Source organism: Homo sapiens, chromosome 10, assembly GCF_000001405.40.
Source record: "Homo sapiens chromosome 10, GRCh38.p14 Primary Assembly".
NCBI classification, from domain to species: domain Eukaryota; kingdom Metazoa; phylum Chordata; class Mammalia; order Primates; family Hominidae; genus Homo; species Homo sapiens.
In genome coordinates, this window is record NC_000010.11 from 121915463 (window position 1) to 121927475 (window position 12013).

At 42.6% G+C, this 12013-nt stretch overlaps 1 protein-coding gene across 40 annotated transcripts in view, besides 1 other annotated feature; it reads right to left on the bottom strand.

Annotated features, from left to right (window-relative positions):
* The window catches only part of ATE1 (arginyltransferase 1), a 188040-nt gene that overhangs the window by 175039 nt on the left and 988 nt on the right, over window positions 1-12013 (bottom strand). For 21 of the 40 annotated variants that reach the window (NM_001439377.1, XM_047424530.1, NM_001288736.2 and 18 more), the window contains exons 2-3: window positions 8804-8867; window positions 6887-6949 (exon numbers count right to left, since the gene is read on the bottom strand). The exons of 2 other annotated variants lie outside the window; for them this stretch is intronic. In NM_001439377.1, the coding sequence (NP_001426306.1) occupies window positions 6887-6949; window positions 8804-8867 (127 nt within the window). Of the gene's footprint in view, window positions 1-6886; window positions 6950-8803; window positions 8868-10960; window positions 11245-11271; window positions 12011-12013 lie in introns of those variants that run through there. 17 more of the 40 variants (NR_110006.2, NM_001439374.1, NM_001439379.1 and 14 more) reach the window with 8 other exon arrangements.
* Window positions 11781-11930: an enhancer, noted in NCBI's record as "active region_4141". NCBI's record gives its function as "activates an Ori minimal core promoter by ATAC-STARR-seq in GM12878 lymphoblastoid cells {active_cell/tissue: GM12878}" and the evidence as "EXISTENCE:reporter gene assay evidence [ECO:0000049][PMID:35858748]".

Consider the following 12013-nt stretch of genomic DNA (forward strand, 5'->3'; position numbering starts at 1 on the left):
AAAATTCCCCTGAACTAAAGGATAAGATGGGACGAGCCCCCAGATAAGAAGGGCCCCTCCAGTTTGTCTGTGATGGATAAAAACAGACACATAGCCAAACTGACTATGAAATGTAGAACAGAGGATAGAAAAGCTTCCTAAGAGAGGCCGGGCGCCGTGGCTCACACCTGTAATCCCAGCACTTTGGGAGGCCGAGGCAGGCGGATCACGAGGTCAGGAGATCGAGACTATCCTGGCTAACATGGTGAAACCCTGTCTCTAATAAAAATACAAAAAAAATTAGCCAGGCGTGGTGGCGGGCACCTGTAGTTCCAGCTACTTGGGAGGCTGAGGCAGGAGAATGGCATGAACCTGGGAGGCAGAGCTTGCAGTGAGCCAAGATCACACCACTGCACTCCAGCCTGGGCAACAGAGTGAGACTCCATCTCAAAAAAAAAACAAAACAAAACAAAACAAAAAAAAACAAGAAAAAGAGAAGAAAAGAAAAGCTTCGGCCAGGCACAGTGGCTCATGCCTGTAATATCAGCACTTTGGGAGGCCGAGGCGGGCAGATCACAAGGTCAGGAGATGGAGACCACCCTGGCTAACAAGGTGAAACCCCGTCTCTACAAAAAATTAGCCGGGCGTGGTGGCAGGCACCTGTAGTCCCAGCTACTCAGGAGGCTGAGGCAGGAGAATGGCATGAACCCAGGAGGCGGAGCTTGCAGTGAGCAGAGATCACACCACTGCACTCCAGCCTGGGAAACAGAGCGAGACTCTGCCTCGAAAAACAAAAAACAACAACAAAAAAAAGGAACACTTCCAAAGAGAAAGAACACGTCTCAGACAAAGGTATGAGGATCAGAATATCACCGCACTTCTCAACAGTAATAATACGATAGTGGAACAAAATTCTAGAAAAATTATTTTCATCCTGCACTTCTGTACCCTCCCAAACTAAAGTTTGAGCAGTGAATCAAAGTTTGCAGACACACAAGGTCTCAAAAATGTAACTCTTATGCACTTTCTCTATTAGAAGATGTGCTTCACTAAAACAAGGGAATAATCCAAGAAAGAAGGGTTTCCAACTCAGGTGCTAAAAAGAATCCCCAGGCCGGGCGCGGTGGCTCACGCTTGCAATCCCAACACTTTGGGAGGCTGAGGCAGGTGGATCACGAGGTCAGGAGATCAACACCATCCTGGCTAACACGGTGAAACCCCGTCTCTACTGAAAATACAAAAAATTAGCCAGGTATGGTGGCACATGCCTGTAGTCCCAGCTACTCGGGAGGCTAAGGCAGGAGAATCACTTGAACCTGGGAGGCAGAGGGAGCAGTGAGCCAAGATCGCGCCACTGCACTCCAGCCTGGGCAACAAAACGAGACTCCGTCTCAAACAAAAAAAAAAAATCCCCAAGATGACAGTAAAAAGAATAGCCCAGGCCACATATGGTGGCTCATGCCTGTAATCCCTGCACTTTGGGAGGCCGAGGTGGGTGGATCATGTGAGGTATGGAGTTCGAGACCAGCCTGGCCAACATGATGAAACCCCATCTCTACTAAAAATACAAAACTTAGCCAGGCATAGTGGTGGGCGCCTGTAATCCCAGCTACTCAGGAGGCTGAGGCAGGAAAATCACTTGAGCCCAAGGGTGGAGGTTGCAGTGAACTGAGATTGTGCCAGTACACTCCAGCCTGGGCAACAACAGCAAAACTCCATCTCAAAAAAAAAAATAGCCCAGGCTGACCGTGATGCTTCAGGTGCAGGGGGTAACCTGTTCAGATCAAGCCGGTCAGAAGGCTCCACAAGGGACTTTTCTCAAGTAGATAAAAGCGATCATAGCACTTGATGCGTTTAAATATACTAAGAAAAAACTTACATAACTGGGATTTATTTTCAAAATAATCTGGTCATAGTTATATACACTATGCAAACAAAAAAGATAATTAGTAACTCCAAGGAAAGCAAAAACTTGTGCAGGAAAAGTAATCACAGTACCCGCCATGGTTCAGTTGTGAAGCATATTTACACAGTCACAATGGATATGAACACATCTGCCCAAAATCACACTTCTGAATGGAAAGCTAGGGATGGGGACAAAAACGAGCTTGAATGTGGCAGGGAAACAGGGATAAGAGAAAACTAAATCCTTATCTTCCACAGAGAGAAGCCCGGAAATAATGGAGAAAACTAACAGAAAAAGAAAAAAAATGCAAGTGTTACAATTATATAAGCATGTTGCTTAAAGACAGGGAGATGAAAAACCAAAAGAATTAGTTAAAATGTTTCAAGATGACTGCCTTAGGGGAACAGGAAATGGGACAGGGGGGTTGGGGGATTGCTTTTTCCAAAACAAACTTTATTGCAACTTGACATTTAATGAGCATGTGGAATTCTGATAAAAATAAAAAACTTAAAAAATCATAGCCAGAAAAGTTCATCCTCATTTATACACACATACTGGAGAGTCCCTACTGACTAACAAGAAGCTAAGCTGTTAGCTATAAGCCCCTTTCCTTTATCTAAGTTCTCATTGCAACTGCTGTTATATACAAGGTAAAAATAACCAGAAGAGTAAATATGGAAAATGACTCCATAAAAAGATGATGTGGCTGGGCCCAGTGGCTCAACGCCTGTAATCCCAGCACTTTGGGAGGCCAAGGCAGGCGGATCATGAGGTCAGGAGTTCCAGACCAACCTGGCCAATATGGTGAAACCCCGTCTCTACTAAAAATACAAAAATTAGCAGGGCATGGTGGCATGCGCCTGTAGTCCCAGCTACTCAGGAGGCTGAGGCAGAAGAATCACTTGAACCTGGGAGGCGGAGGTTTCAGTGAGCAGAGATCGCGCCACTGCACTCCAGCCTGGGAGACTAAACAAGATTCTGTCTCAAAAAAAAAAAAAAAAGATGATGTATAATGAATTACAAAGAGACGCAATTCAGGAAACATTTGATGCCACGTAAAATGCAAAAATCACATAACTACTTTATTTTGCAATGTTAATGAATCCCCTTTTATAAAGGCAATATGCTTAGAATAGTGCTTTCCATGTAACAGGCACCAAATACAATTTAGATTCTTTTTTCTTTAACCAATCGAAATCACCCTTTTCTGATCACAGATTAAGCCAATCAACTTCAAACTTATGAATAGAATCCTGTCCATAATCCAATAAATTGCTAATTGAAGACAAATGACTTCTGCCTTAGAAGATACCTTCTCTTTATAACCACGAAAACTGAAAGAGGACAGCACAGGATACTCTGTCATTCTATTCTTTGTGTAATGACACAGTGTCAGCAAACCAGACCCCATTTTTCTCATCCTCTGCCAATCCAACGGCCAGCTGGACTTCTGGGTCGGGGCGGGGGTGGGGGGGACGTGAAGAACTTTTCTTACAAGAGGATTGTAAAATGCACCAATCAGCTCTCTGTAGCTAGGATTGTAAAACGCCCCAATCGGCGCTCTGTAGCTAGCTAGAGGATTGTAAAACGCACCAATCAGTGCTCTGTGGCTAGAGGTTTGTAAAATGGACCAATCAGCACTCTATAAAATGGACCAATCAGCACTCTATAAAATGGACCAATCAGCACTCTGTAAAATGGACCAATCAGCAGGACATGGGCAGGGACAAATAAGGGAATAAAAGCTGGCCACCCTACCCAGCAGTGGCAACCCACTAGGGTCCCCTTCCACACTGTGGAAGGTTTGTTCTTTCACACTTCACAATAAATCTTGCTGCTGCTCATTCTTTGGGTCTGCGTCACATTTAAGAGCTGTAACACTCACTGCGAAGGTCTGCGGCTTCATTCTTGAAGTGAGCGAGACCAAGAACCCACCAGAAGGAACCAACTCCAGATACACCAGCACTTTGGGGGGCTGAAGCGGGCAGATCACCTGAGGTCAGGAGTTCGAGACCAGCTTGGCCAACATGGTGAAACCCATCTCTACTAAAAATATCAAAAAAATTAGCCAGGTGTGGTGGTGCACGCCTGTAATCCCAGCTAGTCGGGAGGCTGAGGCAGGAGAATCGCTTGAACACGGGAGGCAGAGGTTGCAGTGAGCCGAGATAGCACCACTGCACTCCAGCCTGGGCGACAGCAAGACTCCATCTCAAAAAAAAAGCTCCTAATCAAGTATCAGTGAACCTTTGGGAGTCTGCGATCATTCTAAAATTAACACGCAAAATGTGCTGGGCATGGTGGCTCACGCCTGAAATCCCAGCACTTTGAGGTGGGTAGATCACGAGTTCGAGAGTAGCGCGGCCAACATGGTGAAACCCCGTCTCTACTAAAAACACAAAAATTAACCAGGCCTAGCGGTGGGCATCTGTAGTCCCGGATACTCAGGTGGCTAAGGCAAGAGCACTGCTAGAACCCAGGAGGCGGACACTGCAGTGAGCTGAGATCACACCACTGCACTCCAGCCTGGGTGACACAGCAAGACTCAGTCTCGGTGGGGAGGATATGCAAAATGTTACATATTTTTGTCTACATCCCTTTGGGCAGGAGGCCAGCTCTCATCGACTTCTCAAAATGGTTTGCAACCCAAAAACAAGTTAAGAGCAACCAAGGGAGACAGCTTTGAGGACCAAACAAAAAAACTAATGGACAAAAAACTGTTTAATTTTTTAATTTTTCATTTCTTAAAGTAAAACTGTCTTTTAATTTTATGAGTATATATACACATTGAAATTGGGGGCAAATACATGCTTCAAAATGTTAACGCACTTTTCACATTTTCTATCAAAAAAAAAGGTTCAGGTGCAGTAGTAGCTCACACCTATAATCCCAGCACTTTGGGAGGCTGAGGCAGGAGGCTCCTTTGAGCCTAGAAGTTGGAGATCAGCCTAGGAAACATGGCGAGATCAGCCTAGGAAACATGGTGAGATCTGCCTAGGAAACATGGCAAGACCCCTTTTCTATAAAAAAAAATGTAATTTGCCAGGCCTGGTGGTGTGTACCTACAGTCCCAGCTACTTGGGAGGCTGAGGTGGGAGGATTACTTGAGCCTGGCAGGCAGGCTGCAGTGAGCCATGGTTGTGCTACTGCATTCCAGCCTGAGCAAGACCCTGTCTCAAAAAAAAAAAGAAAAAAGAAGAAAAAGATGATGATGACCTTATAACCAGAATAAGAGAGAAGATTTTTCTATGTTAGGGTGAGGTGAGAAGGTACATGGAAAATCCAAAAGATTATGAAAAAATCCAACGAAGACTTTGTAGGAAAATAGACTTTGGTTTAAGTTTCCCATTTAAGAAAACTGGACTCTGGGCCAGGTGCAGTGGCTCACGCCTGTAATATCAGCACTTTGGGAGGCTGAGGCAGGTGGATCATGAGGTCAGGAGTTCAAGACCAGCCTGGCCAACATAGTGAAACCCCATCTCTACTAAAAATACAAAAAATTAGCCGGGCGTGGTGGCAGGCACCTGTAATCCCAGCTACTCGGGAGGCTGAGGCAGGAGAATCACTTGAACCCAGGAGGCAGAGGTTGCAGTGAGCCGAGATCGCGCCATTGCACTCCAGCCCAGGCGACAGTGCGAGACTCCGTCTCTTTAAAAAAAAAAAAAAAAAACTGGACTCTAAGTGTAAGTGGCAGATTAAATTTAAGCCCTCTTCCTTCCAATTAATTTTTTTTTCAACTTTTATTTTAGATTCAGGGGGTATAGGTACAGGCTGGTGACCTGGATATATTGCATGATGCTGAGGTTTGCAATATGGATGATCCCACCACCCAGGTACTGATCGTCATACCAAGTTGGTTTTTCAACCCTTAGCTCACGCCCTCCCTCCTCCTCTAGTAGTCTCCAGCTTCTACTTTTGCCATCTTTATGTCTGAGTACCCAAGGTTTAGCTCCCACTTATAAGTGAGTGAGGTGGGAAATTAAAGAAAAATAAAATTAAAAAGAAAGATAAATAAGCTTTCCTGTATTAGGCCGACTTGTCCCAGAGGCAGCAACAGGCACGGCCCAGACCCAGGAAAAGCCTTGATAATATTATCTAGTGTGCTCTGGAGATTCTCCCAGCACTCAACATGCAGAGAAGAAAAAATAAATTTTCCTTTGTTTTACGGAATGAGTTCATAGATTCCTGTTCTCTGTAACTAGTGACTTCAAGTATTGTTTTATCTGAGAAGTACAATGAATGTCATGAGAAGCCTGAGTAGGCCTGAACTGCAGCTGCCTGGGCACCATAGTGAAGATTATGGGATAAGCCCAGGCAAACCTAGATAACGGACATCTGGGTTGCTTGGCAACGGTCATGTGCAATCCTGAGTTTGTCCTGCCTCTGTATCCCTGCTTTCACGCCACTGTAAGCTTGCTTCAAGCTAGCCCACCCCCTTCTGTGAACTGTGTATAAAAGTCTTTGTTCCGGGCCCAGTCTTTTAGACGTTGAGTCAGCTGGGCCTAAGTGCACTCAATAAAGTTTCTCCTGTTTTAACCCGAGGTCTCTCTTGTCCTCCTGAATCCCACAACATGAGAACGTGAACCTACCAAGTAATTTATAGGAGCCTGTAGCATTGCTTGAACACAAGCACTGTGTCAAGCAATACACCAGAATGCAGAAAATTCTAAGCTAAGTCCTATAATATTTAATATCCAAAAGTAATGTGAATATTTACCAACATTTTCCCAATATTTCATGGCATTCATTGACAAGATTGCTAAATTAAGAGGGTATTTTTTTCACATATTTATATCTGAACCAATCAAACAATATTACTAAAACCTACTGATCAGCACATAAATACAGCATCAGTATGAAGAAAAGACATAACTCATTTACTTTTCCTTTTAAAGGACATCTACCTAGAGCGGAAATAAACATTAAAAAAGCACAAGAGACTACTAAAATATTATACACAATCTTCATACTATAAATCCTCTTTCTACTAATTAAAATTCTTACCTTATTGTGTACTGAGGACAACATGTTTGATTCATGACAGGTTTGTACACATATTTTCCACTTCTAAAATTATAAAAATAGTTTGTTAATGTCTTATATATTTTTCACTTGCACCAAAACAGCCTAGCACAGGAGCATTAAATTAAGGTTAAAAATCTAATCAACATTGTAGAAATGCATGTAGGTTTAATTACTCTTCATAAGCCAAATAATCTTCAAAGTGCGTGTAGCAAAGTTTAGAACCCTGCCTTTTATTTCCTAAAGCTTTACTTGTGTACCCCACGGCCAATCATCTCAGTTCCCCTCTCACCAGCATCTGCCACCCCTGCTCTGCCTTCACCTGCCACCAATCCCCAATACCACAAGGGCAATGAGAGAAATGCCCACGATGCTGTGGGACTCATGTATGTGATGCCTGTGACAACCACACTTGGGTATTCCACATGCACCAGCACGGAGTACCCCAAAACTAACCCGCTTCTTTCCATGCATTCCAGGTCTATGGTACTAACAGAACTGTTCATTCTGTTCTCAAGTCAGAGACCTGGGAGTCATTTTAAACTCCTCCCTGGAATTCACCTCTATATCCTATTAGCAAGCTTTCCTTCATTTTAAACCCTATCCTAAATTGTCCCCTCTTCTCTATCACCATTGCCACTAAGGTGACAGTCCTCATCATCGCACATCTGGATAGCGCAATAACCTTTGAACTCATCTTCCTGCCTCTATGACCCCCCCTCAAATACCTCTCAGCCATCTGAACAATCTTTTCTAAAACAAATTCCTTCACATTTCTCTCTTACCATAAAATCCTTCCATGACTGCCTTCTAAAAAGTTCTGGCCAGGCATGGTGGTTCATACCTATAATCCCAACACTTTGAAAAGCTAAGCTGGAAGAACACTTGCAACCAGATGTTCGAGACCAGCACGGGCAACATAGCCAAGATCTTACAAAAAACTGAAAAATTAGCCAGGTGTTGTGATGCACACCTGTAGTCCTAGCCACTGCAGAGGCTGAGGCAAGAGGATCACTTGAGTGTGGGAATTTGGGGTTACAGTGAGCTATGATGATGGCACTGTACTCTAGCCTGGGCAAGAGAGCGACTCTAGCCTGGGCAACAGAGCGAGACCATGTCTCTAAAAAAAAAAGTTCCTTATCATGGCATGTGAAGTCCTTTAAAATCTGACCTATGTCTACCTTTTGAATCTCATTAAGTTTAAGGAAAGTTGTGATATTTCAGCTGGTGCTCCCAATCCCACGTCTTTGGCAAGTATTAGCGTACAGTATTTAATATTACTTATATTTACACAAGGAACTTTACCTAAGAGTTACTTAAAAATCATCCACATAAAAATAACTACTCAAAACAGGCCATGTGTGGACTTTAAGGAAATCCTTATCCAAATAAACTGTTAAAGAAGACATTTTTGAGACAATCTGGAAAATCTAATAAAAAGTAGGTAACAGGTAACATCAAAGAATTTTTATTAATTTTGTAAGGTGTGATACAGCATTGTGGATAAGTTAAAAAGAAAAAAAGACCTCTCTCTTAGAGATACATACTTATTGCCTATCTATTGATAGGATAAATGTCATAATAACCTACTGATGTAATTTGCTGTTAAATATTAAAAGGTGGAGCAGGAGAATCAAACATGATTGGCAGAACGTTAATAACTGCTGAAGCTTAGTGATAGGTACTTGAGGTTCATTCTAATGTACTCTCTGCTTTTATAGATATTTGACATTTTCCTAACAAAGTTTTTTAAAAAGGAGACAAAAAATCACTACATAAAAGAATATAATAAAAATTTTTCTTAAACCTCTTTCCAACAGGAAAGCATTTCAAAGGCATGCTGTATTTTTCAAGAACCTGAGTAACAGTAGGAAGTCTCTTTGTATCTGGAAGCTTTACCTTCGCCATCCTCGGTCTATGAGATCCTGATAATCCTGTACTGTCATGGAATGTGCCCACATGCCTGAAAAAATAAGTAGTGTGTTAATTACGGCAGGGTAACCTTTTTTCTTTTTTAAATTCAAAGTGTGAGGTTTAAAAATAGGAGTGTGTGTCCGGGCACGGTGGCTCATGCCTGTAATCCCAGCACTCTGGGAGGCCAAGGCGGGCAAATCACAAGGTCAGGAGTTCAAGACCAGCCTGGCCAACATGGTGAAACCCCATCTCTACTAAAAATACAAAAATTTAGCTGGGCATAGTGGCGGGCGCCTGTAATCCCAGCTACTCAAGAGGCTGCAGCAGGAGAATCACATGAACTCGGGAGGCGGAGGTTGCAGTGAGCCAAGATCACGCCACTGCACTCCAGCCCTGGCGACAGAGTGAGACTCCATCTCAAAAAAAAAAAAAAAAATAGGAGTGTTTAGGTTAAAATTCCAAAACACTCATATTGGATAAATGAAAAGTTTGTACATACTTCACAGCTGTTAGTTGGGCATACACACAGCACAAATAAAGAATGACACTATATATATTTTCATTCAAAAAAACACATCGAAGTTAATTATATTTATTTGAGGATTAGTCAATAGTCTCTATGACAGCATAAATTTAAGTCCTCACTGCAATCAGACTGCATCAGACCTTCAAACTTTAATAAATATCCCCAATGATTTAACATGCTGGTCTCTTCAGAAAACTTAGCAAAATGTTTTGTGCTTATTAGTTCTCCTGATTTATATACAGGTATATATTTACAGTACAGTCTTGAGCATCAAAAATTGGAGAAAAGTATGTAACAATATTCCTTCTAAGTGTAAGAACTGAAAGTAACTCAGCTGGGCACAGTGGCTCACGCCTGTAATCCCAGCACTTTTGGAGGCCAAGATGGGCAGATCATCTGAGGTCAGGAGTTTGAGACCAGCCTGGCCAACATGGTGAAACCCCATCTCTACTAAAAACACAAAATTAGCCGGGAATGGTGGCACATGCCTGTAATCCCAGCTACTTGGGAGGCTGAGGCAGGAGAATCGCTTGAACCCAGGAGGCGGAGGTTGCAGTGACTCGAGATCGAGCCATTGCACTCCACACTCCAGCATGGGCAACAAGAGTGAAGCTCTGTCTCAAAAAAAAAAAAAAAGAAAGAAAGAAAGAAAGTAACTCAAATGCCAAGGAACAGGAAGATGATTACAGGGGCTATGATGTTGTCAACATGATGGAATAATCACGCAACTATGAAAAAAAACGAAGACTATGAGGAAACATTTAAAGGCATATCAGAACTAAAGGCTTCATGAGGTGGTGGCTCAAGCCTATAATCCCAACACTTTGGAAGGCCAACATGGAAGATCACTTGAGGTCAGGAGTTCAAGACCAGCCTGTGCAACATACCAAATCTCTGTTTTCACAAAAAAAAAATAATAATCATAATTAATCAGGTTTTGTGGCCTGTGCCTGTGGTCCCAGCTACTTGGGAGGCTGAGGTGGGAGGAGGCTTGAGACCAGGAATTTGAGATTTGAGGCTGCAGTAAGCTATGAACACACCACTGCATTCCAGCCTGAGCAAAGGAGCAAGACTGCCTCTTAAAAAAAAAAAAAAAATTAAAGTTAAAAAAGAAATGGGCCAGGTGCAGTGGCTCATGCCTATAATCCCAGCACTTTGGGAGGCCGAGGCGGGTAGATCACCTGAGGTCGGGAGTTCAAGACCAAGCCTGGCCAACATGGTGAAACCCCGTCTCTACTAAAAATACAAAAAAATTAGCCGGCCGTGGTGGCGGGCACCTGTAATCACAGCTACTCGGGAGGCTGAGGCAGGAGAATCCCTTTAACCTGGGAGGTGGAGGTTGCAGTGAGCAAAGATTGTGCCACTGAACTCCAGCCTGGGCAACAAAAGTGAAACTGTGTCTCAAAATAAATAAATAAATAAATGGATTTTTCCCTTTTGTAAACAGTAAATCACATCAGAGATATGACAGGCTTGATAGAGCAGAATATAGTGGGAAAAGCATGGCACTGGAGTCCAACAGAAATATCCCGACACCTGGCAGGCACTCACTCACACTAAGGAGTTACCCAATAAGCCTCAATTTCATCATCTGTAAATAAAAAAATAAAACTCACCTACCAAGTAAGTAGATGCCCCATAATAAAGAGTATTAAAATTAAAATCGAGATACTAGAAATTGATGATTATTTTCTCTTGATGGAAAGGTTGCAGGCAGGTTTCTTCGACAAAACGTGAAATACAAGACATTTATGTTAGCCAATTTTCTCTTATCACAATTATTGGAAAAAAATAAGTAATGACCTATTAAAATATTAATTTTAGGCACGTTTAATGTAACTTATTGATTTGATAAATATTATAGCCAAAATACAAAAATTCTGAAAAAGAGAAGGTAGAAATCCACAATACTCTAAGGCCATATTACCACTGTCACGATTTGGTGTACTTCCGGGCCTTCTTCCTTTCAGAACTGTAATCATGTCGCATAAGCCATTTGCATCCTGTTGATTTTCTCCGTTTAAGTCCAAACTGGAAGCATTTTTCCATTTAGTCTTCATAATCCTCACTTCTAACGATTGCATAACTGTCTACTCAAAACCGCTGCCCACAAGTAGCACTTAATAAACACTTTTAATGAAGGAGCAAATGCACACACCGTTATCGACCAAATCATTCCCCACTTACACCTTTTTCATGGAAAATGCCTGTGTGTTTTCATGCGAATCTCGTTTTCCACAAAGCTAGACTGTTCTATTAAAATAATAGAGTCTACATTCTATATTGGCAAATGCATGGCAAGAGAGGAAATAAACACGATGTTTTGTTTACCAGCAACAAATCTCCCCCAAAGAAATCTGAATCACGATGGAAAAACAAAACAAACTTGTGGGCTGGCTTTGCTGTCGTCCGGGTGGGTGGAGGAAAGACACGGCATATAAGCAAATGGTAAAAATTTCAAACAGATCAGGACAAACAGAATCCCTCGCCGGTAGCGACCGCGGTCACCAGTTTCTTGTCCTTTTTTTTTTTAACTTTTTTTTTTTTTAACCCAGAGATGCAAAGGGCTCATCCTTCCTGTACATTCGTCCAGGGAAGTCTGATTCATACATGACCGGCACCTGTGTGCACACCCACAGCTCCCTCTGCACCGCGTTTCGCCCTCGCTC